General features: G+C 40.9%; 1 protein-coding gene across 1 annotated transcript in view; it reads left to right on the top strand.

Moving 5' to 3' along the window:
- Positions 1-18,314, top strand: part of DNER (delta/notch like EGF repeat containing) — a 356,927-nt gene that overhangs the window by 233,380 nt on the left and 105,233 nt on the right. The window contains exon 7 of the mRNA NM_139072.4: positions 3,923-4,036. Within this exon, the coding sequence (NP_620711.3) occupies positions 3,923-4,036 (114 nt within the window). The remainder of the gene's footprint in view (positions 1-3,922; positions 4,037-18,314) is intronic.

Here is an 18,314-nt window from a genome sequence, read left to right as displayed (position 1 = left end):
CACCAAGCAACTGTCCTGCCAAAGGGCCCCTCCCTTTCCAGGGAGACTGGGGTGGGTAGAGCATCAGGCTACCCTCATCGGCTTTGCAGATCCATAGCTGGTTATTGCCAGTAGCACTGGCCACTTGCAGCTGAGAATGCTCAGTGGTCCTATAATCCCGTGATCTCACCCCTGCCTCCCTGCTTCCTCCTACACCCCAGTCCATGCTCCTCCATTAGTGTTCTTCATCTCCAGTAATACTGAACCCACAGACATGTCAATATGCTCATACTTTACGGGTCTAGAGCATTACACATAATCTTTTTCTCCATAGTTCCATGTTTCCTGTGTTTTCAAAATCTTTACTATAAAGACTTTAAAGCTCAGGGAAATAAAGCAATGACAAAGTGTTGAATATGGACCACTGTTTCTCATTGGAGGGAACTATTGGCATTTTCAGTGTGACAACTCTGTTATTAATATATTAGGCCATCTCAAGTCCTGCAAGACCTCAGTATCTTTACCCACAAAATGCCAGTGAGGTCCCGAAGCTGTTATGACAATTAAAAATGTAAATTAGCCTCTCTGATTGAAATCTTACCGAACTTGCATACGGTATTGGGGCACTTAACAGCATTGAAGATTCACCCTCACTTATAATTTATTAGATCTGTAAGAATTAAGTGCATGGGAATATTTGTGCATTATCAGACAGTTGTGGTTCTTAAGAAAATTGTGGATATTATTAAATATAAATAAATATGTTTTAAAGTGTTTAATTAAATTTGTAAATGGAATGAAATATTAATTAAAGAGGCCATTAAAAGTGATCTTTAAAAAACTCCCCTTTTGCTAGAAATGCATACTGAAATATTTACAGGTGAAATGAAATTTGATTCAAAATACCCTCATGGGGAACCTAGGAAAATACGAAGAGACTAGATGAAATTAAACGGACAAAATGCTAATAATGGTTGGAGCTGGGTGATGGACACATGAGGTTTATAACCTCATCTCTCTATGTTTAAGTATGTTTTAAATCCTTGGATAAAAAGTAAAAAGGAAGTGATTGTTAAAATTTTATTGAAAGAACTTTGAAGTTCACAGAGTCCTGCATTCTTCTATTTTTTCTGTCTGGTGGGGATGTACATCTCTCACTTCTGAGACCAAATTGGCTGCTGGCTGTGGGTCATGGTTTTGTGTCATTCTGTGGTCGCAATTCTGACATCTTTCCGGGGACAGAATTCATGATGCCATCCACATCCTTTAGGCCACACTGCCTCTAAGAAGCTACCACTTGTAATCGGTTATCTTTTTCATAAATGTACTATACTTTTCTAGCCATATTGTAGAATCTTTAAAGTCAGGGATTTGAAAAAATAATTCTTGGCACCTCCAGCCTAAGCATAACCAACCACACATAGGCTGTAAGTTATGGATGAATATTTATATTTATGGTTTTTTGTTTTTTTTTTTTTTTTTTTGAGACAAAGTCTCACTCCATTGTCCAGGCTGGAGTGCAGTGGCGCAATCTCGGCTCGCTGTAACCTCTACCTCCTCGGTTCAAATGACTCTCGTGCCTCAGCCTCCCCTGTAGCTGGGATTTCAGGCGTATGCCACCACACTTGGCTAATTTTTGTATTTTTAGTAGAGACAGGGTTTTGCCATGCTGGTCAGGCTGGTCTTGAACTCCTGGCCTCAAGTAATCTGCCTGCTTCAACCTCCCAAAGTGCTGGGATTACAGGCATGAGCTACCGCACCTAGCTGAATATTGATGGTTTTTATATCAAGCTCTGTGTCTCTTTCTATGTGTTTTCTTACCCATTATTTTCTGTTATTTTCCCTTCATACTAAATACCTGTTTGTTGACGATGGTGATGCATAGTGCCTTAAGTGTAACCTTAGGCGGACTGTGTGAAAGGGCTTGGACACAGGGCTCTGACTCCCTGTATGACTGTGTGCAAATTACTTAACCTTCATAATCCTCGGTTTCCTCATTTGTTAAATGGGGTGGTTCTCCATGGAATACTACGCAGCCATAAAAAGGAATGCGATCATGTCCTTTGCAGGGACATGGATGGAGCTGGAAGCCATTATCCTCAGCAAACTAACACAGGAACAGAAAACCAAACACCACATGTTCTCACTTTGAAGTGGGAGCTGAATGATGAGAATACATGGAAACATGGAGGAGAACAACACACACTGGGGCCTGTTGGGAGTGGGGGTTTGGGGAAGGAGAGCATCAGGAAGAACAGCTAAGGAATGCTGGGCTTAATACCTAGGTGATGGGTTGATCTGTGCAGCAAACCACCATGGCACACGTTTACCTATGTAACAAACCTGCGCATCCTGCACAGGTACCCCGGAACTTAAAATAAAAGTTGAAGTTAAAAAAAAATAGGGTGATTCTAATAACACTAACCTCATAAGGTTACGTGAGTATGGATGAATTAGGTATTAATGTGTGGATAAATTATTAATATTAATTAATGTATGAATAAAAATAAGTGATTTTTGTAAGTTTTGGCTATTATTTTTAGCCAAAAAGTTATTTGCAGCATTCCTCTTAAAAACAATTCACTCTCCCTTATTTTGAATTTACAGCTTTTATTTAATCTGTTCTAGAATTTTGAAATAGCCTTTTCTCCTGGTGTTTGGATTTTTAGTTCATGCGCTTGTCTTACTCCTCTTCTCATACCGTGAATTAGCTAGAATCTCCTACACGGCTTGAATGCCTGTGAGTAGGATTGCAAATGAATGCCTCCACATTCCCAATCTGTAATTTACAATCTATTTGGCAGGTAATTGAAGCTCAGGTGAATCATCTCTTTTCTAGTATCACTGGATCTTTTTGGTTTGTAAATCTCAGATTCAAGTGCTAATGGCAGTCTTTCAAAACTAATAATTCAGAAAGACAAGATTTTATGTAGTTAAAACTGTCCTAGAAATAAAGTGTTACACTATGATCATAATTGTGTGGAAAATATCTATGACTCACAATTTTTGATAGGAATTATCTCTACAGTATTGATGGTCCTGTCACTCAAATAACATAACCAAGGGCACATTTTTTTCTTTTTCTGTGTAATGTCTTAAATTTTCCAAACTTTCTTTACCGTTTTCCACTTTATAATGAGAAATTTATTAGCATTTTATTTTTTAAACTTTTCTCTCCAGGGGCTTTGTTTTCAAAATTAATAAACAAAATTCTGGAAGTATTTAAAGCTTTTTGACTGCACAGGTGTTCCAATCGATTTACATCCTTATTTCCTCACCACATGTGCGTAGTTATGTTACAATCCAACAAAATTACCATGAGAGCCTTGCTTCACAGATAATTTAGTTGGATTTGTGAATTAAGTAGGTATAAATAAAAATATATTAATGTGCTTAGCATTCTGTTTGCCTCAATCTCTTTATCTTTAAAGTGGGAGGAGAGGTCACAGAATTAACACAGGTGGGTTATTCTAGCTCTAAAATATTATAAATTAAAACTGCTCATACCTAGACATTTTCCTAATGCTTTTTATGTAGGTGTTGTGATGGCCTAGGGAATGTGGCCATTATCTCAGTTAGATCAAGCTGAACACTGTAAATTCCTGTGTCAGAAGGAAGCTACCAACGTGATCCTCAGTCTCAGCTTCTGAAAGTTCCGACTGATATTTCAAGATGAAACACAGACCTAATGCCGAAGAAATGTGGTCTTCTTGCAATAAAGATTTTTGCAGAGTAAACGATTTTTGAACTATGACTCTAAACCACTATGATTATTTCTAAACTACCATAGTTTGTAAAAATAAATGAGATCTAGGAGCAGCTTAGCTGAAGGCTGCCACTGCCTTCACTGGGCAGGTACCAGTTGAATCCATCAATTCCTAGAGTGGCTCATGGTGGGTCTGGAAGAGCTTATTTTATAAAATGTACATTTTGTTTTATTCAGGTTATACTGGAGAGCTTTGCCAGTCCAAGATTGATTACTGCATCCTAGACCCATGCAGAAATGGAGCAACATGCATTTCCAGTCTCAGTGGATTCACCTGCCAGTGTCCAGAAGGTAATTAGTATTTATTACTCCAGAAAGAACTTTTTTCATTTTAAATCATAAACTAATTTGATCAGCCTTATACTTTGTTTCTGCAAAACTCTACACAAGAGAACTTCCTGTTTTGTTTGATTTATAAAACAAAAATAGAAGATAGTCCCCCTTTTTAGCTCTATGCTAGCATAGCTTGAAAATTATTTGAATATTAGACATAATCTAGGACTTTCTGTGATTTTATTTATACATTGAAAATGAATAGCTATAATAAAATAGAATCTCTAATGGTGACAATTTACTTAAGATTTCTATTTTGTTTGGTTTTTGATATGAGTTTACATTTAAAAATTCAACACAAAGTTCACCTGCTTCTGTTTTTAAATCAACTTCATAATGTCTTAGAAAATTCAAGTCACCTGAAAAACCACATCTTTAGGGCTACTTTTATTTTAAAAAGCAGTTTTACTGCTGGCATAGTTTTACCTGAAGAAGCAGGCAGATAATCACAGCTATCAAGCTGGTGTTCACAAAATTATTTTGTGATTTGAGGAAGTTTTGTTCCCATTTCTGCTTGCAGGGATGTTATGGAAGGGATTATTTTCAATTGTTAATTTTGTAAGAATAACATGACATTAGATTGTTTTTTAGAACCAGCATGTAAGCTTCTGATCCACAGAAGTAACATTGACAACTACATAGAGTCACATCCTCTGCAGAGATTAAATGTAGAGCCTGAGAACCTAAGGAAGTATCTGTGTATTCACAATTACCTTAGATTACCTAAGGCTGAGAGGCAGGGGGAGGGCGGTGGTCCAGGAGGGTGTTGGTAAGAGGCCACTGGCTTCCCAGATAACGGAAGTGCTTGGGTTCTCCAGGAGCTGCCCATGTGATCGGCAGTACCTCATAATCGAATATTTCGGAGAAGTGAACATCAACTAAAGAAGGGCAGGTTCTTGTCTTCCTGCTCACTTGGGCAGAGCAGGGGCCAGGGTGGGGGCCGGAGTGAGATGGCTGTGGCCCACCCAGCCATCCCTCTCTCTCTCTGTGTGCTGGTGATGAGTTAAATGTGTTTGGCAAGCCCTGCTCTTCACCCTCTCCTTCTTTTGCAATTTAGGCTCAGCTCCCTTAAACAAATGCGAAAACTTGGAAACGTTGCTGAAGGCTGATGACTGAGCAAGCAGCACCAGTCTTCACTCACATAGAGCACTTTGCAGTTCTTAAAGCTCTGTCACGCCCTTGGTTAGTCAGTCGCCACCTAACTCTGATTGAAGGCCTTGTCGTTTAGTGTTTAGTCAAGGGCAGCCTGCAGGGTCGTCCTGGGACCAAATGGAATTTTTGTGAAAGTGCTTTAAGAACTCCAACATGCTTTCCTATTATTGCTGGGATTGTTACCTGAAAGTTACAATCAGGCCTCTGGAAGTTCAGATGGGGGTAATTTGCACAAAATCACACTGGTAATAAACAATGGCCCTCGAACTAAAAACAGAATTTTGCTTGCACTCGTACTACAATTTCCTAGTTGTTAATGATTTGCTGAGCACTTTACGTATACCAGGCACTGTGCCAGGAGCTAGGATATAATGCTAAGGAAGGCTGAGATGGCCCCTCCAGTAGTGCACACACAGATAAGTATGTAATTACATGCAGGAATAGGTGCTTTGAAGATGCACAGAAGGGATCTGCCTGGGCTTGGAGAGCTGGGAGAGACTCCCATGTACAAAGACCCTAGGAGAGGAGAGGGAGGAGATGGCGCAGTTGCGGGCATGACTGAGCTAAGAGGATGAGAAGAATCATGGTGACAGCAGGTGGAAGCAGGCAGGGCAAGGCTTGCAGGGCTGGGTGAGCCCCGCAAGGCCTTTCATCTTCATCCTAGAGGGGAGGGAGTCGGAGGGGGAGGTTTGAAGGCCAGTTCCACTATCACCAGCTTTGTCCCATGGGCATGTGATTTTATACCTCCCTGCATCTTGGTGTTTTTAATCTGTAAAATGGGGTGATGATTGTGTCTATGTCCTGGGATCAGTGTAAGGATTAAATGAGTTGAGACAGATAAAGTGCCTAGCACAGTGCCTGGCTAAGTGCTGAATTCATAGTAGCTATTTCATCACTATTGTTTTCATGATAATGATTACTATTAAACCATTGATAAGCAGGGAACTTTGAACTTTTCATTCTGGAACAATGTTGAACATAGAGAGAGACAAGAGTGGGAATAAGGAGAAAAGTTTGGGGACTGTTGTAGAAGTCCAAGAAATAGATGTTGGCTGCTAGGAATGGAAGGGTGGAATTTGAAAAAGAGAGAGGCAGACGGATTTGGAAGAACTTTGGAAAGAAAATGGAGGAGGCCTGAGAAGGAGCAAGGTGGTGGGAGGTGAGGGAGGGTGAGGCAGCGAGTCTGGGGCTTTGCAGTGGGTTGTGCTGTTCATGGAGAAACAGAAAAATGAAGTGTTCTATGTTGGAACCCTTGTGAGAGACCCTTGTGATAGTCAAGTGGAGATGTCAGCTAGGCTGTGGCTCTATGAGTCTGGAAGAAGCCTGGTCTCATCTAAACACAGAGACATTGGCCTTTAGGTAGTAATTTAAATCCTGGATGCTGATCTAGGAACCCTTCTCCTTTATCCGGTGGCACACCAGCCCCTCCATGCTGCCTAGATAAAGCCTAGAGAAAATGCGAGGCTCTGGAATTGACAAGATGAAGATGAATTTTCCACTACAAAGACTTTTATTCGAAGGTTTATCTTCAATGAAGCCTGAGCAGGGAAAAGCAGGCTTTCATTAGAGTTTAGAAGAATTTGCTGGAATGTGTGGCAGCCTCTTAGCAGGAGCTCATACCTGGTGACTGGCATTTTTTAAGCTGCCTCTCCCACTGGCCTATCCTTACAGTGCTTGCTTTTGTGTGTCGGCAGTAACTCATATTTATAGAACACTTTGCACTTTAAAAAGAGCCTGTGTCACCAGGTGTGGTGGCTTATGCCTGTAATCCCAGCACTCTGGGAGGCCAAGGTGGGCGGATCACTGCAGGCCAGGAGTACAAGACCAGCCTGACCAACATGGCAAAACCCTGTCTCTACTAAAAATATAAAATTTAGCCGGGTGTGGTGGCACACACCTGTAATCCCAGCTACTTGGGAGGCTAAGGCACAAGAATTGCTTCAACCCAGGAGGCGGAAGTTGCAGTGAACCGAGATTGTGCCACTGTACTCCAGCCTGGGTAACAGAGCAAGATCCTGTCTCAAAAAGAAAATAAAAAATAAAAAGAGCCTGTGTCTCCAGGATGTTTCTCACATCAGACATGCTGAGAGCAAGTCTGAGCAGAGCCTCAAATTCACAGAATGTCCTGGGGTTCAGAGCCAGCCCTGACCCTTGCCTGCCTCCTTTTCCATTTCTCCATTGTAGGTTTTTGTTGATTCTGTCTGCCCTGCTTCTCTGTGTTATTCTTTGAGGAAAGGGAATGTATTTTATTCATCTTGTTTCCCACACCTAATTCCAACACCTTTCCTACGGGTTGCGTTTTATGTTAGCAGGAGGGATTAATATTTGGTAAATAATTTAATAATAGAAGTCAACACTTAGCTATCACTCACTATGTCTACTAACTAATTTGACTCTCACAACAATGAGAATCAAATTAGTATTGTATGCTAGGAAGCACACACTGTTAATATTTCCATTTAACAGATTAGAAAACTGAGGCACAAGAGGATCAATAACTTGCCTGAGGTCACATAGCCAGAAATGGAGACTAAACCCAGAAATGGGCTCTAGTGCTCCCAACTACTGTCCTATACCATCTCTGAATATATTCTTTAAAAGAAATCACATTATATTTTTAAAGATTATCTTTGTAACCATAATCATAAGTAAAATGCATGCAAAGAAAACTTCTAAATGTCTCTGCTGTTTACTTTCTTAAATCTGGAAAAAGTGAGAAGTTATTATTTTTGGTAAGCAAGTCAAATCCTTTTATACCAATTCCTCCCAGGCTGGAAAGCTGTTAAAATGGGGTTTTCCCTCTAGATAGAGTTCTCGACAGCACACATCCGCATCCTTTCTCTTTTCCCCCCTTTTCATCTCCATTTTGTTTCCTTCAAGGACCTTTTTCCATCTGACCTGGGTAGGCCCGTAGAGATTGAACATCTGTTCTGGGTACTGTCTCTGTGACTCCTGCTCCTTCACAAAGTTCCAAATCGGGCAGCCCGAGAGCCAGCTGCAGTCACCTTCATAGCTGCGCTCCTTCAGGACACGTCTGCCCTTCTACACTGAGATTTTTATCCTTCATCAACAGGTTCTGTATTTCTCCTGAATTTCGACTTAGCTTTTACTAGGTTCATATTGGGAAAGTGTAGCTTCAGATTCTGGTTACGGTGGGGATGATAAGAAATAAAAGTGAAATATCATGAATGTTTTCTAATATCCACCTAATTGAATGATAACAGCAAAGACAAAGATAAGCACTTAGAACCTGGCATTATTGCTTAATAATTTATTGTCTTCGTATTTGGTTTAGAACTTTGAAATCCTTAAGTTTTAAACTAAATGCATTTTAATTCTGAAGATGTCTATATATGCTTAGGATTACTGCATATTGGTATTTAAATATGTATATTTAAATATATGAATGTATTTAGATACATGTATAAATACAGTCTGAATACTACTCTCTAGCCATTATCAGTATCTTAATTCCATCTCCCTTCCACTGGGAATTTGAAGTAGAATACCCATAAATTAATAAAGAATAAAAAGAAATCAGTAGTGATGAAAGCCTCCAGCAATAAAGGACATCCATTGGCTCTGCAGCATGACCATCCCCTTCTGGAGAGCACAGCTGGTCAAACGGAACCACCTTCCTGGCAATTACCTATTACGGAAGACATATGGCAATCAGAGACCAAAGAGAGAATATGGGGCTTTATGCACTATTTTGAAAACATATCATTTTATCCAATGCATTTTAAAAGCATTAAAGGTATTTTCTCACACTATTCCTATGGGATAAGATTATGGAATACATAGATTTTGTATGAACCACTCTTGCACTGTAATTATGAAGTCAAGTATTACAACCAGGGAGAGGACTCACATCTTCCAGTCCTATAACTATTAGAATGCAATGTTGGATTTTGCTGTCAGACATCAAAGATCTTACAATCTGGAAACTCTCATAGCCAAGGATGGAGATTTGGTGTCGTTCTCTGGCCTGGAGGTCAGTAGATTTGAGTCTAGGCCCCGTGACGAGGCTGTAGAGTGGAGTGGTTTATGCATGTGGTTTGGGGTCACACTGCTTAGGTTTGAAATCCGGACCTACCTCTTTTGACAAGGTCTTGGCTTCTTTGAGGCTCATTTTTTAATTTATAAAGTAGAGTAACACTCGTTTACATGTTTAAAGTTAGTGTGAAGGTTGGAGAAAGCCCTTAGCACTGTGCTTTGCAAATAGTAGGTGCTGAGTTAATGTTAGCTATTATGATGATTGTTATTAATTAGTCATCTAACCTCGGTTAAGTCACATAATTTTATCTCTTCCACCCTTAGTTTTCTTCGGTAAAAAGGATGAAGGTTGACTACTACCTTTAAGGGACCCTATGCTTAAAAGTCTTTAATTCAAATATATCAGTTTAAAAGCTACTTGCTGAGTCAATAAATCCATCATGTTTCAAGTCATGTTTATAGAGAAAACCTTCATAACCTCTAAGTAACTCTAGGGAATGCCTGGGGTTTAAATCTTTATGTTGGCCCAAAGGTCCTGTAGGTTAAATTCCACTGCAACAAGCTCCAAGCATTTACAAAACTATTTTTTTTTTTCATTTTATAGCCTTGGGTAACCTAGCTATATAAATCCTTTTGTCGAACTCAAATTTCAGTGGTAATGCTTTTCATCTTAAAGGGATTTGCAGGCAATAGCAACACATGTCATAAAAGTTATCTCTCAGATAATGTGTATTGTTTAAAAACTGGGTATGTTACCCAGTCAGGATTTAAGGGTGATATAGTTTTGGGATTTAGTTGTTTTTTTTTTCCAGCACCCTAACATGTATGATCTTGGTGAAAGCACTCTATTAGAACCATATGAAACTCCATGTATTTACATAAGAAACATGCCACATACCCTCATAAAATTAACAGTCCTGAATAAAATGCTGTTCTTGTTCTTTCAAAATTTGGCATTATCCCTAAATCACCACTTCATTTAGGAATCACAGCAGCTGAGATCCTTGGAGTAGTATATAGTTTCACCTTTTAGAATCAAAGCAGGGTATTAAGATTTATTAAGTGTGAGTAAAATTTTATCTTATTTTATTTTGTGTTTGAAACAGCATTTTGCTCTTGTTGCCCAGGCTGGAGTCCAATGGCACGATCTTGGCTCACTGTAACCTCCGCTTCCCAGATTCAAGTGATTCTCCTGCTTCAGCCTCCCGAATAGCTGGCATTACAGGCGACCATCACCACACCCGGCTAATTTTTGTATTTTTAGTAGAGACGGGGTTTCACCATGTTGGCCAGGCTGGTCTCAAACTCCTGACCTCAGGTGATCCGCCCACCTCAGCCTCCCAAAGTACGGGGATTACAGGCGTGAGCCACTGCGCCCTTCCAAAATTTTATTTTTATGTTTGGCACACAATTCATTAATTTTGCTTTACAACTGAATTATTATTATTATTATTATTTTTTGCATAGCAGTTTCTCTGAGGTTGTTTAAATAAAAATGCAGCAAGGAATTTTAGTTGCCTGCTTTTTTTCATTAGCACTGGGGAAAATGGCTGCACTAACTTTCAGTGAATGACCAGGACCCTCTTCCCACATTAGCTTTCTTTCCCCTTTGAAAATGGTTCCGATGCCCACTTTAGTGCTGACAGAGGGCAGTCAGAAGTTACAGTTTGATGAATGAATGAATGAATACTTAAATGATACCTTGATGGTTTTCTTCTAAAAAAGAGATGGGATATACCTAAGGGATAAACATAAATTTTGATTTCTAAAGGTGTGTGTCAAGATCTGCACGTGACAATTATTTAGCATTCTTACAACATTTTAGTTTTAAAACTTCAGGCATAGGTCTTGAACTTCAACGATGGTTTTCTTTCTTATGCTTCAAAGTAATAACAACAGCATCGGCAGTACCTATAACAGTACTGATGCTGTCTGCCATTTGTTGAGTGCCTCCTATGTGTTAAGCACTGTGCTTGGCACTTTGACATTATTATTATTATTACTTGAGTTGGAGTCTCAGTCTGTCCACCCAGACTGGAGTGCAATGGCGCGATCTTGGCTCACTGCAACCTCTGCCTCCCGGGGTTCAAGCGACTCTCCTGCCTCAGCTTCCTGAGTAGGTGGGATTACAGGCACCCACCACCATGCCCAGCTATTTTTTGTATTTTTAGTTGAGACGGGATTTCGCCATGTTGGCCAAGCTGGTCTCGAACTCCTGACCTCAGGTGATCCGCCTGCCTTGGCCTGCCAAAGTGTTGGGATTACAGGCGTGAGCCACCATGCCCGGCCAGCACTTTGACATTATTATTCAGCATAACTTAGCAGTTAACAGCTGAGGCTCAAGTAGACTTTGCTGAGTTTGAACCTGTTTGATTACTTACTCCCTGGCGACCTTGAACAATTTACTTAAATTCTCGATGCCTCATTTTCCCCATCTATCGAGCGAGGGTAGTATTAGTGGCTACCTAAAGGGGTCGTTATAAGAATTAACGGAGCTGTGAATATGCAGTGCTTAGACCAGTACCTCGCAGAGAATAAGTAATTAATAAATTTCACCACTTAATCTGCACAACAGCTGTACAAGACAGGTATTATTATGCCATTTGTCAGATAATTCCTGAGGCTCTAAACAGGTTTGTTTGATCCTGAAGTTCATGTTCTTTCTGCTGCACCAATTCCTCCCTGATCCAGTTTTACTTCAAGTGGTAGCTATTTGGATGTACACCCGCTGTCCCTCATGGGGCTCTGGGCTCGTTGAGGACAGGGATGCTAAACATTTCTGTATCCCTTAAAGCATCTGGCATGTAGAAACATACGAGACATTTGTTGAATGAATGAACGAGTAAATATCTCAAAACTGTCCTGACAATAACATTTTATGTATGAGGAAACTCCCCATATCACAAAGATGCATTAACCAATGTTCACTGAAGTAAATGTGCAAATCTCACTGGCTAGACTCACTGCAAACTCATGATGCCTGCGGGGTGCAGGAGCTCTCATCTCATCTGGTTACTTCCAGTGCCCAGTTTAGGGGTGGTGTAGGGGTCATCCAGAGACTCCGGGAGAGTTCATATTCAGAATTGGAGGCCCCTTCTTTGGCTGTCTTCCTGCCCAGAACCCTCCCTCACTCCTCGTGGTATGCCTTCTCCAGGCTCCTTCTGTAACTACCTAATGGGTTCACCCTGCCCACTGCCTAGACAGAGCTGATTTATCAAGACAGGGGAATTGCAATCGAGAAAGAGTAATTCACGCAGAGCTGGCTGTGCAGGAGACAGGAGTTTTATTATTACTCAATTCAGTATCTCTGATATTTCGGGGATCAGAGTTTTTAAAGATAATTTGGCGGGTAGGGGCTTGGGAAGTGGGGAGTGCTGACTGACCAGGTTGGAGATGGAATCATAGGGGGTCAAAGTGAGTTTTTCTTGCTGTCTTCTGTTCCTGGGTGGGATGGCAGAACTGGTTGAGCCAGATTACCTGTCTGGATGGTGTCAGCTGATCCATCGAGTGTAGGGGCTGCAGAATATCTCAAGCACTGATGTTAGGTTTTACAATAGTGATGTTATCCCCAAGAACAACTTGGGGAGGTTCAGACTCTTGGAGCCAGAGGCTGCATGACCCCCCAAACTGTAATGTCTAATCTTGTAGCTAATTTGTTAATCCTGCAAAGGCAGACTGGTTCCCTAGGCAAGAAAGGGGTCCTTTTGGGAAAGGGCTATTAGCAATTTTATTTCAGAGTCAAACCATGAACTGAATTCCTTCCTATAGCTTGGCCCATGCCCAGGAATGAAGAAGGACAGCTTAAAGGTTAGAAGCAAGGTGGAGTTGGTTAGGTCTGATTTCTTTCACTGTCATAATTTCCTCAGTTATCATTCTGCAAAGGCGGTTTCCCTTCCTGGGTACCTCTGGACTGAAACGGAAGGTTCAGTGCTGTCGTCTTATCCCCCTGTGCCACTGTCACGGCTGTGGCAGCCGGCCATGTGAACCCCCCAAATGCGAAACTGATCTCATGCTGGCTGCTGCCTCTGTATTTTGACTCCCTTCCAAAACCTGCCTGCTTTGGTTCACTTTTCAGAGCCTTGAAGAAGTTTTTCGCTTTTTATTTTTATTTTTTTTCTTGTCAGATTTAACAGCTGTTTTGTGGGAGGATCTGTTTATTAAAAGCTAACTTCTCCATGCTAAACGCAAAACATTCATATTATATCATGGTTCTTGAATGCAACAAAGATCCTTTACGATAGAAATATAAATACCCTAGTAGTAAATATAATTTTCATTTTTTCTTGTAGCAGAATTATCTCCTCACACATACCCCTCTTTAGACCACAACAATGGGGGAAGCTAAAGTGAAATTTTTGTTTTTCACTTGGACCAAAATATCATGTGATACAGTCCTGGCCCTTCTTCTGAACTATTCAGGTCGAGGCTCTGACTCTGACCACCTTAAGGCAGGGGACATACAGAGAGACCCAGGCCCAAGACAACGTTGAACAGACAGAAGACTGGGAAAGTAGAAGAATGTTTTGTTAATTGCTTCATCATATATTATTTTTGGTTAAATAAACCCTTCTTTGACTCTGTTTTTCTAATCTAATTTCATCTCCTGTGACCTGATACCATAATGATAAAAGGCAGCTGAAGATAGATACTGACGCCTCTCCTCAGTTCATTTAGCCCATTTTTAAAGACATTTTCCCACTGCTCTTCTTTAAAATTGGCCTAATTACATTTAATTATAATTTCTATGAAGAAGTTGTCATGTTTAGAGTCCCTTCCTCACTTTCTACTCCCAAATAGCCTACCCTTAGCAATGCCCTTGGCCGCTGCGACCCAGGACACTCACAAGGGACTTTCTGTTCACTACTGGCCACCATCATTGCATTTGACCAGGGTCCTCTTTTCCGTGACAGTCCAAGACTTGACACCGCACTTTAAATCATTTTCGTGATTTTTTTTCCCTGATGACCAAAGAAATTTATGCTCAAATGTGCTCAAAGGAAAAACAATGCCTCGAATTCCAACCCCAGGAGAAAAATCATTTTACATTTTAGGTGAACATCTTTGAGGTCACTTTATTAATGCCCTTTTTAGAAAACCAAAATCGGATCTGACTGTGTATTCGCTTTTGTAATGAGTGTCTTTAACTGAACAGTGTGCTCTACATGTTCTATATTTTTAAGTATTATTCTAAAGAATTATTAATGATTGCTTCTATCATATGAATATGGCATTATTTATTTAATAAAACACTTAATTCACATACTATTTCTTGATTACCTACCTTGCAGTGGTTATTGTGTTGATCACAAGGGATTCAGCAGTGAGCGAGACATATGTGGCTTCGGCCTCATGGGTCTTATGGAATAGTGGCCCCGAGAGACAGCATGGACAGTATGATCAGGGGTGTGACAGGGCTCCTCTGGGGTAATCAGGTGGTAGAGTCTGAAGAGGGACCACTCACCTACACTGAGGGCTGGAGGGAGAGTCAGGAAGTGTTCCAAGGGAAGTGATGTTCAAACATACTTGAAGACTAAGTAGTAACCTAAAGAATGAGTAGGGCTGCAGGCAGAGGAAAGACTCTTTCAGGAAGAGAGAAAAGCAGGGCGAGGTTAGGGAGGGAGAGGGAGACACAGAAATCTGAGGAACAAAATGCAGTTCAGCAGAGCCGTACTGCAGAATGTGATGGAGGGAAGACAGAAGGCTAGAGAGAGAAGTAGGAGTCGGCTCAGGTAGACCTTTAAGCAGTGGGCTAAGTGGATTGCACATGGCCCAAGAGTGTGGACAAGGGCACCATGAATGGGTTTAGCAGGAGAGGAGAAGAATTTTAGCACTTGGAAGAAATTACTGTGTTTAGGGGGGAAGAATGGATCCAGGGAGGACAAGAATTAGAGAAACCTGTTAGGAGCCTGTTACACTGCTTTAGATGAGCTTTAATGCTGAATGCATTGCAGAGGTGACAATGGAGATAGAGAGAAGTGGACAGATTTGGCTATAAGAGGACAAGGAGAAGGCCAGGGAGAGGACACACCAGTTTTCGACAAGTTTTACACGACTTGATATACGGGGGTGCTATTGGGAGCTGAGCATTTTTGAGGGGGAGGATGAGAAAAGTGATCCCTCTAAAATGCAGATGACATGTTTTCCTTCCCTGCCTTTCGAATCTCTGCTGATTTCTCATCCAAGGTGTTGTCTGGGGCCAACATATCCCTGGCTACCTCTCCAACCTAATTTCTTCTTTTATTTTTTGCTTTTTGAATTTTAAGATACATACAAATCACTAAGTGATCTTGTTTAAATGCATATTCTGATTCAGCAGGTATGGGATGGGGGCTGAGATTCTGTTTGTTTTTTATTTTTTTTTAAATGTTATTTTAAGTTCCAGGATACATGTGTAGGATGTGTGGGTTTGTTACATAGGTAAATGTGTGCCATGGTGATTTGCTGCACCTATCAACCCATCACCTAGGTATTAAGCCCTGTATGCATTAGCTGTTTATCCTGATGCTTTCCCTCCCTCAGCCCCCTGGTCCCATTGTGTGCTGTTTCCTTCCCTGTGATCACGTGTTCTCATTGCTCAGCTCCCACTTATAAGTGAGAATATGTGGTGCTTGGTCTTCTGTTCCTGCATTAGTTTGCTGAAGACAATGGCTTCAAGCTCCATTCATGTCCCTGCAAAAGACATGATCTTGTTCCTTTTTATGGCTGCATAGTATTCCATGGTGTATATGTACCACATTTTCTTTGTCTAGTCTATCATTGACGGGCATTTGAGTGGATTCCATGTCTTTGCTATTGTGAATAGTGCTGCAATGAACATACACATGCATGCATCTTTATAATAGAATGATTTCTATTCCCTTGGGTATACACCCAGTAATAGGATTGCTGGGTCAAATCGTACTTCTGGTTCTAGGTCTTTGAGGAATCACCACACTGTCTTCCACAATTTCCAACCTCATTTCTTATTCCTCTCTTCCTTTCCTTTTCTCCAGATTCTGACTTCTTGTTGTTGTTCAAACATGCCAAAGGCTTAGAAATTGTCCTCCAGGCGGAAGCCATTCATTCACCTTACATCCAATGCTACAGGGAGCGTTTGCACCTGACCCTGTACCCTTCTTCATAGGGGCCCTCACATGGCTCTCTCTCCCCCTTGTGTCACTTAGGTCTTCCTGACTCCACTATCTTACACAGCCCCCACCATTCTCTACCCACCGCACCCTGCTTCAATAACCTGTAGCCCTGACTGAGGATACCTATTTACTTGTTTTTTTATAGTATGTTTTCCTCACTAGAATGGAAAGTCTTGAAGCAGTGCCTGATGCATGGCTGCTCCCAATTAGTCTAGGTTAGATAAATGAAGACCCAGAGGGAAATGCAGACCTTCTGACCAAACCTTTAAATCTCCATTGTCAATAGCCAATTATTTTTGTTCACATAACTATATCCTTTAAATAAGTTTTATCTCTTATGCCCTTCTATGTATTCCAAATTAAGGGAGAGTTGATTTAACATTCTTCTGATGATTTCCTAGCTGTTTTTCATTTTCCTGTCTTAAATCTAACTTTGACTTTCTGTTCTGCTCAAGAAAAAGTCCTTAAGATATTTTTTACTCTCTCAAATGGATTTTCTTAAAAATTCAAAGTCACATTTAAAATGCAATCCTATTGGGTCTTTTACAGCTGATGATTTTGTAATTGATTTTCCCAGATATTCCCCTTTCTCTTTATCTTGCATAACTGTCTGCTTTCTTAGAACCAGAACAAATGTGGTCCCAATTAAGTTTTCCATACACACTGGCCAAAACCCCTTCTCTGATTTGAACATCACTCCTTGTCCTCTTCTGCCAAGTCAACTCCTGTGCTTTCTTTCAGGCCCAGTTGGAAAAGCCAACTGTCCCATGAGATTTTTCTGACCTGCACACATCATAGGGTTCTTCCTTCTGAATTTCTGCCACAGTTAGAGCTGGTGCCACGCACACTGATTCCATTTTGACAGGCTGGGCTGGTCTTTCAACCCTTCCTGCCAGGCTGGAATCATTCCATCAATGTTTGCAGGAAGGAAAAATGGCCTCAACGTGTTCTCTCATTATCTCAAATATGTCCTTCTGGTCTCCTCTGTACAAGAATGAGCTCTCTGAGAGTCAGGATTCTTCCTTCTCCTTGCTTTCCCGTGCTACGCAGCAGAATACTTCATAAACCATTTTACCTTCAGCTGGGCACAGCGGCTCAATGCCTGTGATCTCAGCACTCTGGGAGGCTAAAGCACGAGGATCCCTTGAGGGCAGGAGTTCAAGACAAGCCTGGGCAACATAGGGAGATCACATTTCCATAAAAAAATTGAAATTTAATTGGATGTGGTGGAAGTGCTTGTAATCTCAGCTACTCGGGAGGCTGAGGCAGTAAGATCACTTGAACCCAGGAGTTCAAGGCTGCTGAGAGCCATGATTATGCCACTATACTCCAGCCTGGGAGACAAAGCGAGACCCCATCACAAAATAAATAAATATATTTTCTACTTTCATTTTGATCTAGTGATTATTCATTTATATATCTGTAATAAAAACATCTAATGACTAATATTTCTCCTTTCATATTCCCTCATTGTAATTTCTAAAACCCCATCCATATTTGTCAATTTGCTTTTCCTAACTATATTGTGTTGCAAATCTGTTGGAATATGTTCTCTATTACACCATTCATTTAATCCACTCATTTATTCCACAAACATTTACTGCACACTTCCCATAGCTCAGACACTGTGCTGGATGCCAAGGCACAATGGTGAGAGGAAAGAACCTGGTTCCTCCTCCAGGAAGCCTGTGGTCTTATTCTGGGTGGGAAACAGGTGATAAACAGGGAAACCAATACACACCTATTTCATTGCAAATAAAAGTGCTATGAAAGGGGTGAGCAGGGTACTGTGATACAGAATAAGAAAGGGATATGTACCTAGGATGAGGCGATCAGGAGAGACCTGCTTGTCTAACACTTATGTCAAAAATTAAGACATAAGGAGGAGTCAACTCTGTAAGCAGGTAGGAGCAGCAGCTTCTGGACAGTGGAAATGGCATGTGGCAAGGATCAAGGTG

The sequence above is a fragment of the Homo sapiens genome, chromosome 2, assembly GCF_000001405.40.
Source record: "Homo sapiens chromosome 2, GRCh38.p14 Primary Assembly".
NCBI lineage: Eukaryota > Metazoa > Chordata > Mammalia > Primates > Hominidae > Homo > Homo sapiens.
The sequence above is the reverse complement of the archived record's forward strand: the minus strand, read 5'-3'. Positions and strand labels throughout refer to the sequence as shown.